Genomic DNA, 15,989 nt, shown 5'->3' with positions numbered 1-15,989 from the left:
TTTATTCTTGTGTAAATATATGAAGTTTTTATAAACTTCTAAGAATGTCTTTATTTCCGTCTTAAGACAGTTTGATTTGTGTTGAAGTAGTCTCTTTACCTGGGAGAGTATTTTATTTTTACAGAATAACTTTGTCATTACAATTGAGCTAAGTTTTTAGTTATTAAGGTGTTATGTTCTAAGTAATGTTCATCTTTTACACAGTGCAAACATGCTATCTAGTTGCCTATTAACCCAAATTGGATCCCACCTGAGCACCTTCTTTTTCAGCTGCTGTAGCTCTTTCTAATATGTTAGACTTGTCCGTAATACCCCTGGATGCCCACTGACTCTTACTTTTAGTTCTGACTTTCATTCATCTGAGCATAAGTGGAATAAATTAGGAGGATATTTTAATCACTTTTATAATTCTGGACCTGTTGCTCTCCTTAGCCCTAGAGATAACAGCCATGGGTATGGTTGTGTGTGTATCATTTTCTGTTTCATGATTACATATTATATAGTAAGGTTTATAAGTTTTTCTCATTGAGAAGGAAATTTTCTATGAATAATTTGTTACATCAGTTACCAAATTTAATCTAGACTCATGGTCTCTGAATGAGATGGAATATAAATTTAATCTGTAGCCCAGTGGTGGTTTTGCAGACTGTTCTGCAGAGCCAGTTTGGGAGAGAAAAAGGAAACCAAATGGATTGAATTCTGAGGTCTCAGCTGTACTTTAGTCTGAGCAATTAGGGTTCTGCATAAGCTTTTACTAATATCTAGAATAAAGGGGGGAGTTTCTGCTGGAGTTTTTTTTTTTTTTTTTTTGAGACGGAGTCTCGCTTTGTCACCCAGGCTGGAGTGCACTGGCGCAATCAAGGCTCACTGCAAGCTCTGCTTCCCAGGTTCACGCCATTCTCCTGCCCTCAGCCTCCCGAGTAGCTGGGACTACAGGCGCCCGCCACCACACCTGGCTAATTTTTTGTATTTTTAGTAGAGATGGGGTTTCACCGTGTTAGCCAGGATGGTCTCAACCTCCTGACCTCGTGATCCGCCCACCGTGGCCTCCCAAAGTGCTGGGATTACAGGCGTGAGCCACCATGCCTGGCTCTGCTGTTTTTTTAAAAAGTTTGAACCCACTGCTAGAGTATGGCTGTATGTGCTAATAATGTCTTAAATCAAGGAGAAATGTATCCGTATTGACTATATCCCATAAAGTCTTCAATAAATATATTTAGCCCAGCTTTTCACATAGATGATACAAATTTATCAGCATAATTTGCATTTTTCCTTACTCCTTTTATCGGTATGATACCACTGCCTCCCACTTTACCTCTTATTTTCTTTTCACTGCTCTTACAAAAACAAGTCTCTACAATTTTGATAAAAACTCAAAGTAAACAAAATAGAAAGGAGAGGCAAAGAATGTCAAATTTTCTTTACATCTAAGGGAAATATTGTGACAGAAAGAGCCTCTGACTGGAATTCAGAAAACAGACGTTCTCCTTCTAGGTTTGACTCTTTATTTACTCCGTGACAGTGGACCAGTTTTTTAACCTAATTCTGTTTTCATATTTATAAATTGAGACCACAGATTTTTGGCACCAGGATTTTTTAAGAAATTATTGAAACTCAACCCTCCCAGCTTATTATTAGGAAATGAGACCCAGAAAAGTATAGTATTGACCTCAGATTGCAGATGTGGTATCTATTTTACCTTCCTCTTTGGGTTTTGTGAAGGTCAAAGGGCATCTGTGAAAATACATTGTAAATTTTCTAAAACTAAATATATTCAAAGTATTACTAACAACATGTCAATATACATCCATTATATTGATTTTTGTTTTTGTTTTGAGGCAGAGTCTCTCTGTCACCTAGGCTGGAGTACAGTGGTGCGATCTCAGCTCACTGCAACCTCCACTTCCCGGGTTCAAGCGATACTCGTGCCTCAGCCTCCAGAGTAGCTGGGATTACAGGTGTGTGCCACCACATCCGGCTAATTTTTGTATTTTTAGTAGAGACGAGGTTTTGCCATGTTGGCCAGGCTGGTCTCGAGCTCCTAGACTCAGGTGATCCCTCCGCCTCAGCCTCCCAAAGTGCTGGGATTACAGGCTTGAGCTACGGTGCCTGCCCATTATGTGGATTTAAAGGGAATGCTCAGGCAATAGTGGCATTGGTAGGAAAGAAAAAGGTTATTTTTTAAAATATTATTCTAAATTAATATTCAGGTTTAGTAGGCAAGAAACCTTCTGCTATTGTGTTAAAGGTCCTAAGAAGAATTTGTTGGGTTCCTCCTAATGAATTCTCAGTCAGCATTCTCATTTAGGTTGGTTGGAATCTCTTAATTTGTGCAGAAATGTTGCACAGTATTTGTGTAATTTGATGTTGCAGAATATTTGTGTTCTTACAATTCAAGTAGGATTTGAACCTAGATTTTGCCAGAATTTTATGTGGAATATTGAAGAGACATTGCATTTTATGAGCACATAAAATGATGAATAAGAGATTGGATTGAATCAGAGTGAATAGGTTTTCACTTGAATAATGTCTTGCTTACAGTCATTTAAATCTGGTAATTTCAATAATTCTTTTGAAAAGGCCAATTGTGGCTGGACGCAGTGGCTCAAGCCTGTAATCCCCAGCACTCTGGGAGGCTGAGGCGGGTGGATCACCTGAGGTTAGGAGTTCAAGACCAGCCTGGCCAACATGGTGAAACCCCATCTCTACTAAAAGTATAAAACTAGCCAGGCATGGTGGCACGTGCCTGTAGTCCCAGCTACTTGGGAGGCTGAGGCATGAGAATCACTTGAACCCAGGAGCCGAGGTTGTGGTGAGCCGAAACTGCGCCACTGCACTCCAGCCTGGGTGACAGAGCAAGACTCTGTCTCAAAAAAAAAAAAAAAAAAAAAGAGGAGGCCAATTCTGGCCTTTTTCTTTTCATTCGTATATTTATAGAATAGTGTGGCACAATGCTAGGGTCTTAATATAAAAAGACAAATGAGTCAGAAAATATATAATATAGAGTATTTTTGCTTATATGTAAAATTCAGTTAATATTGATTAAAGTTTTCATGTGGAATTCTACTTTTATTCACTCGCAGTGAGCAATCGTATATTATTCCTTTTTAAAAAATACTTGCCATATTCCTATAAATATAAAAAAGGGAAAGAAGAAATAAAGTTGACATTAAACATAATGTTATTTGGAAACTCTTAATATTTATAAATATTTAAGCTAATGTTCCACAGTATTCTGGTGTTCTTTAGCTAAGAAGTCTGATTAACTTAAAGGTGATTATTACACATTAAAGCCTCAGAAAACATGCACTGAAGTTGGGAATGTACCTTGAATTTTACTATTTCATGTCTTTCCTTTTTTAGTTGGTGAACCCCAGTAAAATCCCAATGGTAAATCCGAGTAAAAGTGGATTTCAGTTTACCTGGAATACCAGCATTGTATAGCCAAACATGGAGTCAAAGATCTAGGTTGAATTTGAGTTCAGCCCATGGATACCTTTATTAAAACAACTAGAGTAATAAACAGGGTTGAGAAAATGCATCACAGCATGGTTCAGAGTGACATATAGTCGGCCTTCTTTTTTTAAATGAAGGATAGGTCATCCAGGGTAATTCTGTGAGAACACTTTACCAAACTCTAGGATTTATTTCTATTTATTTTTTCTCCTCTCATTCCCTCTCCATCTTCCTCCTCCCAACATCATGACACCTGCCAAGCCCCCCAGCCCCAGCCCCTCATTATCTCTTCACTGTGTCCTAGTTCTACTACTGTTACTCTCTCATATAAACCCCAAGCTGGAATTCCAAAGAGAAGTTGATAATAGGCAAAAATAGCCCCAGAGATGGCTGAAGCCAACTTGACATGCACTGATCATCCCTTTCCTCAAACAGTCTTAAATGCTTACCTTCCATTTTGTGTGTTTCAGGTTGGAAATTAAGCCCAGTAGTTGGAGCTGTATATGGTCCGGAGTTATATGCAGGTAGTATTTAAGTAAATGTTTCCACTTGTGCTATTTAATTGTAATAGCATCTGCTGTTTTTCAATTTGTGACTCCTTTTTAATCTTCTTGCATTTTTAAATTTTTTAAAAATCCAATCAGCATCCAGCTTTCAAGCAGATGTGTCCCTAGGCAATGATGCAGCAGTGCCCCTATCAGGAAGAGGGGGTATCAACACTTACATTCCTTTAATCAGTAAGTAGCCTATGTTGGCCTGGCATGGATTTTGACTGTTGTGAGTGAACTATCATGTACTGTTTTTTTTTTTCCTAGTACAGTACATAACTGAAATGGAAATTTCTTGAGAGGGATATTAAATACTATCCCAGTGCCCTGTCCTGCTTAACCTGTGCTAGAATTTTCCTGACCAAATATTAAGATTGCACAAAGCAGAAATAGTTGGAAAAGGTAGAGGGGGTAAGGGCATATGAAGAATATTTTAGTCTGTACTTGACGATAAAGAAAACAAAAGAAGCAAGTATGTGTAGAGCATATTATACATTTCCTCTGCGAGTCAGCCACAGGTTCTCCAGCAGAGGATCACTTAGAAGTACTTCCAGTATTATTGATTATTCCCAGCTCTCTTGATCTCTCTAAGTCATTTTGACCTGAGCCATTTTACTCCAGCAAGAGGTATAATTAAACAGGATTCAGTGGACATGGAATCAATGTCTCTGCATGCTTTCCAGAGGACAGCACACTTAAAATAGGCTCTTAGAAATTGTCTGCCTCTTTAAAGGATATGAGGCCCCTAGAAATTGTCTGCCTCTTTAAAGGACAGGGTAGGAGTTGTTTCCCTCACCTTACATTTGTGGATTAAAATGTTTTAAATAAAAGAATGAAATTGACTAATGAAATGAAATGTCTAAAGACTATTATGTGCCTTAGAGGTTGGTACCATGTAAAAATATAAAAAGAATGTTCTTTTGAGTAATAATTATTATGTGGACATAGTAACATTGGGAAGCAAGGTTAATAACTGACCGGTTGAAGAGTTTGTGTCAATCTGATTTAGACTGCCCACAGTAATTAAAAGTCTGTCTCTTATTATGGCAGTCATTCTCAGAGCTTCTTGACCTGTTTCTCAGCAGCTTGCATTGTAAAGCTGAAATTGAGAAGGAACAGAGAAGCTCACTCAAGATTTGTGATGAATGAGGCATGGAATCTTTTGCTTTTGCATGTTGGGTCTCTCTTTCCATTTCTTCCCCACTGAGAGACCCAGGGTAGAACGTTTATTGAATGCATGCCACCTTTTCCAAAAAGGTGTGGTTCGTATCTTTCCATCTTTTCTATAATTGGTTCATAGCAAGTTGTGACTGTGCACCTTCTATTGAATGCAAGTTGAAATTTCTGTCATATTTTGGGTCTCCCTTTAGTTCCTGGCTTCCCTTACCCTACTGCAGCCACCACGGCAGCCGCTTTCAGAGGAGCCCATTTGAGGGGCAGAGGGCGGACAGTATATGGTGCAGTCCGAGCGGTACCTCCAACAGCCATCCCCGCCTATCCAGGGTAAGCGTTAGATTCCAAAATCAGTATGTTTCTAAAATAAGCAGTTGGACCAAAAAAGAATACCATGGCCCTTTCATAACTTCTGGGATGTTGCCGTGTCACAGAGTAGGCATTCAGTGAATATTTGCAAATTAACAGATTAGATGACAAAAAACAAAATATACCATCATCAGAATGTGACAAACTGTCAATTCATTATAAGTCTTCATTTTGGCCACCTTAAGCCCTCATGGTAATGGCTTAAGACAGTAGCCAGAACCGTCTTGTGTTTACTAGCAGTGTGTTGGCATGAAGTTCACTCAGAAGCGCACGAATATGGATTAACATTACTGCAGAGAACCAAAAGAGGAGCTCAAGATTGTAGTACAAGCCTGCATCTGCTGTGTTCACCTCCTTATCACCACCCCGTGTTGGGGCAGAGGCTGTCACATGTGTCCTCCCCTTTGGTTTCACTGCCTGGGTGGTGAGCAGCAGAGCTAGTTACCCACAATGGATTTGCTTTCTTTGTAGGAAACGGATTAAAAGAGGTTAATTCTAAGATGAACCAAGTCCAATTGAATCAAGGGAGAAAGGGAGAAGTAGGAAGAATTAAACTGCAGTTGGCTTCTGAATGATGGTAAAACAGCGACTGTAGCTGAGCATCCTTCACCGTTTGATTTTTTTATGGAGGGTGTCTCATGCAGTGGAATGATTCCATAGCAACAAATAAATCCTTTGCTACTGAATGGGGAAAAGGAGTGAAGATGGCAGGTTTTGTTTTTAGGGGTTTCTCAGTGTCAGCCTAAAATGCAAATTTTTATAGAGTGGTCTTTCATGAGTCAGTTGTACCAAGGACTTCCTCATCAAAGATGTGACATTTCTCTTCACCTTTTCTCTGCCAGATAATGTCAATATGACATATTTTTTTTTGTATTCTTACGGAGGAATAAGTAGCAGCAGAGAAGCTTGTTGGCTGCTACTTAGTTAAAATATAAAGGGAAGGAACCTCCTTTGTATGTCCTTTTCTGACAGCAAAATTGGCTTAGCCTTGAGGTGTACTAATTTAGCATTCATTCATTCATTCATTCATAGACCAAATGGATGTACCATTAGAAGTTCTCCATTCCACAGAGTTAAAACATTTTTATTAGACAAGGTATGTTGAAGTGGGCAGGCTCCAAAAGACACTGGAAGGGAACTGCTTCAGAAATTAACTTTTGTTTGGAGTTTGTAGACATTTAAATCACATGCATTCCATCATCTCCATCTTATGCCATTACTTACTTTTATTTTAATCCTTTTTTCTCTCAACTTGACCTTTGACCTTCAACCTCTGACATCTCTTTAAAGAAGTGAATATGCAGTATTATTTCATCAAGAAATACTCAAATGAAACATTAAAAGGAACCTTTTGGAAGTTTTACACACTAGGAAAATTGTTTGTGAAATGTCTTCCGTTGTAATCCAAGAGAATTTACTGTCATATTTGCAAAGAGAGACTACTCACCAGAAACATGGGACTTCCTTATTTTGTAACATTGCTGAATTACTTTATAAAGTGGTTGAATTTAGTCCTGTTCAATGTAGTCGTTTCAGTATATTGACCAAACTTGAGAACCCATTCTCTACCAAGTCTGTGTCAGGTATATATTTGCTCAAAGATATTTTATCTTTATGTCTAATCATATCAATTTCTGTGCATTACATTGAACACTGATTTCCCATGTTTTCTTTTTATTAACTAAACCACCTGTTTACATGGAAGATGGCAAGGAATAAGTCCAGTATTTCATGGGAATGGCCTAGAATTGCTTTTCAGCTTAGTAAACTAATTTCATCATTAATCATTACGTTTCTAGCCTCCTTGTGGCATTTGATACAGGGAATATTGGGATTCTTCTAGAACGTAGATGAATATTCCCAATAAGTTATTTGACTTAGGGTAAAATGTATTCGTGTTTTTAATGCCAACCCTTCTTTATAGAAGGCTTATTTGTAAATCTTTGCCTATATCCCCTTACTAAGATCTTTGAAGTTTAATTAATCACCACTTGGTCTCAGTGCTTTCCATTTTATCAGCCTTCTCATTTTGAACAAGTTGTTTTTTTCCTTAAAATGCAGCTGAGAGGCAGATTACTTTCTAATATCAGACTTTAACTGCAACTGGAGACTATGAAAATGAATGGGACTTAGCTAAATGAACATCAGAGATGAGTTTGATTTGCCTTTTGTGTGATACAAGGGCATAGCATATTTGGGGCATTCCAAAATGTGACCATGCTATCCTGTAAATACAACCAAATGTCATTGGAAATAGAATTAAGAAACATTCCACCTACCTATAAGAAATAAGTTATTTCATATTCAAGTTAAAAATATGATTTGATGACTTTACTTGTCAGCTTGTTTATTGTAACAGAGAAGGTAGTGGTGAAAATTTCCAGCTTGTTTAGTTGAATAACCAATAAACAGATCATCTAAATTAAAACAATCTGATCTTGACTTCACAGAGATGAAGAAGAAAGTTTTATCTTTTATCTCTACTGCTATTCCATGTCCTTTGGTCCCAAAATAATGTTTTGGGGAAAGTCTGTATAAGTCTGTATGCACAAAGGTACCTCAGAAGGTTGGAAATCTATACTTAAGAATATAGTGTTGCTTAGGTTTTGTTTTTTTTTTTTTTTTAAAGTCATGCATTGTCTGTTTGCTACAAATTCATTATCTAAACAGGAAAATAAACCCTTCTATTCTTAACCAGCTACCTTCTCAGATGTATTCTTTTAAATAAGACAGGGTGATCTTTGGTCAAGCCCAGAACTTCAGTTATCAATTGTATTTTTCAGAATTCCATGAATACTCTTATAGTCAAAAAAGAACCCTTAAAATCTTCCAGTTACTCCTTCCCACTCTGGATTATATTGTTACTATCTGGGATCCCCACTGCACCTTTCAATTCTTGGACCTTGGACCAATCACCTTAACCTTTAGCTCATTATCTCTGCTTGTGAAAGCAATGCATTGTGGGTATTTTTGGTTGTGTTTTTTTTTTAATTACATTTCTCTGTTTACTTTGGTCAGAATTGATTGACTTGTTTTTCTGAGGTGTTGCATTGGTTCTTAAAATGCTGAATAATAATACTTTGCATGCTTGTGTGATCAGCCAAATCTTATCGCATGTCTAATGTGCAGGGTAAAAAGCAGGTGATGTATGGATATCAGAAAAACATTTACATATTATTACAATACTGAAAACAAAATACTTAAACGTAATGTAAAAACATACTTTGCATACAGGCCCTGCCCTAGTGGAATTCTTTGGGTTCAGTTTTTCATGTTAAACTCCTCTTCACCCCTACCCTACTTTGTAAGCTCTTTAAAAAGAAACTTCCTCCTAGGGCAAGCTTATTTTTAAAAATACTCCATATACAAAAAGTTATTTCCAAGCCAGCAGATTTTGGATAGATATAATAGGCTCTTCTAGGAGTGCTTTTTATTGTGTGAATCCTACTTTAATTACCAAATATCCAGGTTGCGCATTCTAGTTTTGCACACCTTTCCCTCTCCTCGCATGTCCTGGAGCTGTGTAACCTTCGTGTGCACTTTCACATTTTCTCACCAACTTGCCGAGGCCCCAAGCCCAGGTTATGTATTCATACATCACCTGCCTGTGTAGAGCGCATGTGCATGCTGCCGTCCTCAATAACCGGAATGTGTTTCTGTTCTTTTGTTTTTTTTGTTTTTGTTTTTGTGTGGATTTTCTGCAGTGTGGTTTACCAGGACGGATTTTACGGTGCTGACCTCTATGTAAGTACACACACTGGGGCCTTCTCGACCCCATCCCCTGACAAGCCAGCCTTTTTTTTTCTGTTTCTTTGGTTTGGTTTGGTTTTTTTCCTTTTAATTTATTTAATTTTTATTTTCTTTTTCCTTGTGGATATATATATATATATATTTATATATTTAAGAATGCAAGCATGCTTCTCTGCCACTGCGCTTGCCCCTGGGTGCAAAAACTAAGCCTTTGGGTTTCCTGATCATTGCAAGGGTCAGTCTACTGGACATATTCTTTTCCCTTCCCTATACCCACAGATGTTCTGTGGATCATTAATTTACTTGTGAGATGATCAGCAGGTTTAAAGTCTTTTATTATTGTCGTGTCATTTGCATACATAAATAACAGGACTAGCTTAACCTTAAACCAGCTCTTTCCCTTTTCTGCTTTTCTTCTCATTTCACATCCCTCTTTAGATCATTAGAGCTGTGATTTAGAGGTTAATAAGCTTTCTGAACTGTACATTTTCCTATTTTACCTACTTTGAGAGAACATGACCTTGTGATAGCCAAATAAGGAACCGATGCCAGCAAAGAGTGTGTAGTAATGAGAAAACGCCAGATATTTAGTTCTTAAAAGCCATTGGAGGAAATGAGTAGCATAATCAGCAACCCAGACTCTTCTTACAGCTATTTGACTATCATAGATTTGCTGACTCTACTAGCCATAGTAATATGGACTCCATTATTTAAACTGTCTAGCTATCACTAAAGTTCCATGATTGGTTTGTCACATATTATTTAAAATGTGGACAAAGTGATATAATTGACAAAGTACAAGTTTTTGAGTTTTGAAGTCTTTTATCATGACCTCTCCAGATGGACTTTTTCTGAATGCAAGCTTGATTTAGTCGCTCAAGTCATCAAGGGAAAATTTTTATAAGAAAAACTTGTCAGCATGAAATGATTCTGTGGGGATAGGTTAAAATTGTCTAGAAATACTTTCTCCACCCTTACTTTCCAAAATCAATAAGAGGTCCTTTTTAGTGAACTGTTTCCACAGTCTACCAGAGATTCACAAGCAACCTAAAAAAGTTAATGCACTTTCAGAATGCACTCAGAGGTTTTGCGTTTTGCAGGAAGTAGAGATGGGATGATACAGTTCTTCGAAATACAGGTGACTCACCTGTACTACTTAGCATAGGCCTGTAAGGTATGCCTTAATTTAATAACTACTTGAAGGAACCTCAGCTATGATTTGGTCCAACCTCCTAACTTACAGATATATTTCTCAGAGACTTACCCAGAACTACATAAATTATTAATAGTCAGGCATAAAACCCAACCAATCCATATTTCATTACCTCTCTTTGTACTTTAATTAAAATCCACCTCTTTCCTCAAAATATTTTCAACAAGTAATGAAAGATATCTTTTTTCCTATGTTCACAGTGAAGCTTGAGAACTGGGGAATCTCCTACTTTTACACCAGATTACATATTTCTAAATACACAGACTTACATATGATGTTAGCATGTACATTCTCCCATATACATTAGTGTCCATATTCTCATGAAACTCATCTTTGTTATTTAACTTGTTTTCTTGAAATCTGATCTATTAGAACAAGATTTTCCATTTGAGTTATTTCTTAAATCAAGTTTTTTTCTCTAATGTGTTTCTTATTTGAGGATTTATTTTTCTTAAATACAACCTATTTATGTCTTATTAAGACTTGCCTACTTTGGGCCGGGCACAGTGGCTCAGGCCTGTAATCCCAGCACTTTGGGAGGCCGAGGCGGGCAGATCATGAGGTCAGGAGATGGAGACCATCCTGGCTAACATGGTGAAACCCTGTCTCTACTAAAAATACAAAAAATTAGCCAGGCGTGGTGGCGGGCGCCTGTAGTCCCAGCTACTCGGGAGGCTGATGTAGGAGAATGGCATGAACCTGGGAGGCAGAGCTTACAGTGAGCTGAGATCGTGCCACTACAGTCCAGCCTGGGTGACAGAGTGAGACTCCGTCTCAAAAAAAAAAAAAGACTTGCCTACTTTGGCCAGGCATCATCGCTCACGTGTGTAATCGCAGCACTTTGGGAGGCCGAGGCAGGGGGATCACTTGAAGTCAGGAGTACGAGACCAGCCTGGCCAAGATGGCGAAACCCCATCTCTACTAAAAATACAAAAATTAGCCAGGCGTGGTGGCACACGCTTGTAGTTTCAGCTACTTGGGAGGCCAAGGCAGGAGAATCACTTGAACCCTGGAGGCAGAGGTTGCAGTGAGCCGAGATTGCACCACTGCACTCCAGCCTGGCTGACAGAGCTAGACTTCGTCTCAAAAAAAAAAAAAAAAAAAAAAAAAAAAAGACTTGTCTACTTCAAACTTGTTAAGTCAACCAACCCAATTTTTTAATAGTTATCTTACTTCCTTACTTTACAATGTAAGATTTTATTGAGACAGATGATTTTTCTGTTCCTGTTAATAAAATACTCTTGGTTTTTTTTTTTTAATCTACTAACTGGATTACCTTGCTGAGCTAAACACAAGTAATTCAGTGATCTTGCTGAAATAATTTTTTTTGACCAGTGGCCCCTTGTTAATGAAAGTAATTAATAGTAATGTTATTATTTCTTAGTTCTTATCTTAAAGCAGAGTTACTTAGAGAAAAAAAGGTTGGTCACTAGTGCTGAAATAATATCCATGCCCCTACATGAAAAGCAAGAATACTTTATGAGGTAACTACTGAGTTAGGCCTAATACAACTGTTGCTTTTAAAACTGTGTGTTCTGTATTCCACATGTGAGGGAGCAAAGGATACTTCTTCAAAAACACACAGACAACAAAACACTATCATTTTTGCCTTGAGTTTGTTCTGCTTCTCTCCATACATTTCCCATCTGTGGAAATCTGTCAGCATACATTTAGTTCTTATTTCCTCCGAAAGGCATATTAGAAATAGAAGGAATAGAGAGTTTAGTATGAAAAGTGCACCGAATCGGAGCTTGAAGAGAAGACACAAGGGAAAAGATTTTAAATTGCTGGTTATGCTTAAGTTAAATGAATTTAGGCTATTAATTGTGCAAGGTTTTTGTAATCCCTTTCACAGTCCCATTCTTAGACAGTGATTCCTGCTAGCCATTTACTTTCTGTTTCTTTTATGGCACATTCCTCTCTGGAGAACTGATCTAGCAATTCTGTTCCTAGTTTGTAAAAAGACCTACCGTGATAGGATTTGGGAGTGTGGCAGCTAGATTATGTATCCAGCCCTCCCTCTTCTTTTTTGGCCAGTAGAAAAGGCATAGTTCGCCCTAATTCACTTTTTAAATGGGTTAACAAACTGCTCCTAAATCACCTCCTGTGAAAAGCATGCTTGCATCCAAAGGAAAGAAAAGGCTGGTGGGCCCCTTAGTGGGCTTTTTGTATGATTGTTTTCCTTCCACAGCTGTGTTTTTTGAACTGCTCTTCCTGTGTTCTGTTATAGAATAGTCTTACAGGAACCAATCATTAGCGCTAAAATACCTCAGGTAGGAGTGCCAGTGTGACCTGCCAATCAATCAGATTGTGGATTGCAGTGAAAAAATTGAATTATACTAACCATTCCAGCTCCACGTTAGAGATGGGAACAGAGGCTTTTTTGGACAATCAAGACTTGTGAGCGTGTGATCTAAGCCCTGCTACCTCAGCAGTGCCCACAGTCACATTCCGTACATAATGGCACTTCCTCTAAAATTAAGTGCTCCTGTCCTCTTGACACATATCCCAGCCAGGTGTGTAATATGCACTGTCCCATCACTGCCACCTCTTTTAATCTGTCAGTCACATGTACCTGTGGTATTTAAACTGTTTTTTTATATTTAGATCTTAGCAGTTGGGGACATTTTCTTACTACTATAAATTTAGAAAAGAGAAAAAAGAGGAAGTAGAACTGTACAAATAGGATTTCTGAATCCCACATTGGGCCCTGTAGTGAGATACCAGTTGTAATTGGACTGTGCTGCTACATAAGTTTGAAGTTGCCTTAAAAATCTAGACATATGGGACTCAAACATTGAGACATGCATTTCCCTTGGCCTCTTCTCCTTTCACCTAAGAAGATCAGTGAGTTCATTTGGATAATAGCATACTTGTTAGAAGGATTGCTGATAGCTGGATGCTAGGAGAAAGAAAATAGTCGATGGCTTTTCACAATCCAGTTTATTTATGTGGCTACCCAGCAAGATTTTGGAAATGAACTAATTTGGGGAGATGTGGAATAATAATGTTTGAAAGGTTTGATTATTGAAAATCGTCTCTCATCTACCATAGAAATAATAGGTGGAAGACATCAGGTTGATCATAGCAATTTTTTCCCTTAACCCCAATTTTAAACAATAATAAGATAAAATTTAAATACTTTAAAATTTTTTTCATAAGTACTTTTCAAAGGAGACAGAGCTCAATCAAAAGCAGTGACGGTATCACCATTATTGTAAGTTTGTGTGTTACTCACATTTAATCAGTGATGCCATTTTGCCACAAAAGAACTCTATAATATCTCCTAGAACCATGGTTCTTAGCAGGGGTGGGGAGGTGGTGAGGAAAAAGAGGGAGTTAGATTCATCCAAGGATAAATAAAGTGATTCCTGGAGGCCCAGCATTAAACCCACGCTAGTTGGAATAGATCTCTGCTCTGCTGTAGTGATTTTCAGCATCACACCTGCCATTCCTTACCCACCCCCTGCCGCCATCCCCCAACCCTCTGCTCTATTGATCTATACACTACATGTAGGTAACAAGCTTTCATTTTGTCTGCTGGTCTTGAAATACACACTCTCCTCCTCAGTGTCACATAATGTCATTGTCTTCCGGGTAGAAAGAAGGTGTCTTGACATCACATGCTCACCAAAGTCCTGTTTTAATGTAAACCTAAAACAAAAATATAATAAAATTAAAAGCTAGGTTAAAATCAAGACAAGGCAAAAGTCTGCCAGTGTGAGATTAAACTAATAAATATGCAGATAAAGGTCAGATATAGGAGGGATTATATTCTATTGTATTTTGCTCTAGTTTAAAACCCAGCTACAGAACTGTGCCGAAAGATCATGTGGTCAACGTGGCAACATCATAAAGTTAATTTGATGATAAAATTGGCTCAGAGCAGAGTAGAAAAGCCCTAGGAGATGACATTGAGCCATGAAAAACTGAGACTTTAACAACTGCAGAAAACACTGGAAAGGATCTTAAAGCCAACTTTTCAAAGGCATTTTCCTTTGAAGAAGCTGGAACTTGAAGTCAGAGATAGGTTACAGATATGTGAAAAAGTAAAATTCCTAAACACAGGAAATATTTTAGCAGAATGCTGTGGATTAGAATATACGGTTGTTGACAGAGGGCGAGCATACATGTGAGTGCTGTGGGTCAGGACTGAATTATATTGCCAGTGTCAGGCAGGTTGAATAGGGGAGCGATGAAGCACTGGGCAGCCCCACTGGGGACACCAGGTATCATTCAGAATGAATTGCAAAGGAATAAGAATAATTCTTTTTAAAGGGGCATGTGTGTATCTGAATCAAGCTTAGCCAAGCCAAATTTATCCAGCTATCAGAGTTCCAAAAAGCCGTCCGTGTGTGCCCTCCTACATTAGGGTGTGCTGTGGCCATGCTAATCCCCATTTTTTGTTTTATTTCAAATCACACACAGATAGAATCTGCAAACTGCTTCAGATCAAACAGGTCTGATTGTGTGTAAATACATATGTCCTTTTTAATTTTTATTATTAATGGTTGCTTCAGTTTTGCATCAGTGCATGGTTAAAAGCAATACACATCAGCTATTTCATGACTTCATATCTCCAAATGAATTATTTCTCCTCTTTTTTTGTTTGTTTGTTTGTGCAGTCAGCTGAAGAAATGTTAACATCTCACTCTAAATCTCTCAGTGGAGTCTCTGTTCCCTTCTCTGATATAACAGATGGGTTACTGCTTGTTATAATTATTAACATTGTGGTGTGGGCCAGGGCTAGGGTGGGCAAGATTGACTATTTCTTTGGGCTGGGGAGGGGCCAGTCGTTAGGGTATGGAATGTTAACTCAAGTGGTGACTGACTGTTTCCGTAATACCAGGTCGTTGTGGCTGCACGCTCTAGTAATTGAGGCTGTGTACTTCACCGAGCTTGTGGTAGAGCCTAGGGCAAACCGCTGTCCCAAGAGAATGCTGGGATAGATAGAGTTAGCCAATACGAGTCTGAACGTGGTGATTTTGCTGGTTGTTTAGCTCCAGATGTTGGCATGCTTAGTTTTTAATGTGATTAATAAATGTGGCGCCATATCCCTCCCCACGCCTGAACCCTGTCTCTTCTACCTCCTTCCCACCCTTGTTCTTTTTGAAAAACTTAAGAAACAGTAATGAAAACCTTGGTGTTTCAAACTGCACTTTGTTCTCATGTTTTATAAAAGCCTTTAGATTTGCTAGTAAGAGTGAAAGCTGAAAAAACGGTTTCTCAGCCTGAAATTTCTATGCACTTTGAAATCTGGAATAGAAATAAATATATCTGAATTTTCTTTTTCTCACATTTTGTGATATGTTTTGTTGAATAAAGCAGCAAAAATACTTTCGAGTAAGTGTATGTGTGTGTGTGCGTGTGTGTGTGTAAGAGAGAGAGAGAGGAATACATCCATGATACACAATTAATTTTTCTACTTTTGGAGTAGTCATTAGTGAATTACCAAGTTAGTTTAGTAGGATATTGCCTAT

At 38.1% G+C, this 15,989-nt stretch overlaps 1 protein-coding gene across 57 annotated transcripts in view; it reads left to right on the top strand.

Annotated features, from left to right (window-relative positions):
* Positions 1 to 15,989, top strand: part of RBFOX2 (RNA binding fox-1 homolog 2) — a 290,089-nt gene that overhangs the window by 263,430 nt on the left and 10,670 nt on the right. For 13 of the 57 annotated variants that reach the window (XM_006724186.3, XM_006724185.3, XM_017028686.1 and 10 more), the window contains 5 exons: positions 3,927 to 3,980; positions 4,101 to 4,193; positions 5,363 to 5,507; positions 9,251 to 9,290; positions 14,938 to 14,969. In XM_006724186.3, coding sequence (XP_006724249.1) covers positions 3,927 to 3,980; positions 4,101 to 4,193; positions 5,363 to 5,507; positions 9,251 to 9,290; positions 14,938 to 14,969 — 364 coding nt within the window. Of the gene's footprint in view, positions 1 to 3,926; positions 3,981 to 4,100; positions 4,194 to 5,362; positions 5,508 to 9,250; positions 9,291 to 12,739; positions 12,783 to 14,937; positions 14,970 to 15,989 lie in introns of all 57 variants that reach the window. The other 44 variants (NM_001394108.1, NM_001394110.1, NM_001394113.1 and 41 more) reach the window with 8 other exon arrangements.

This window comes from Homo sapiens, chromosome 22 (assembly GCF_000001405.40).
Source record: "Homo sapiens chromosome 22, GRCh38.p14 Primary Assembly".
NCBI lineage: Eukaryota > Metazoa > Chordata > Mammalia > Primates > Hominidae > Homo > Homo sapiens.
Note: the sequence above shows the minus strand (reverse complement) of the source record. Positions and strands in the feature narration are given on the sequence as shown.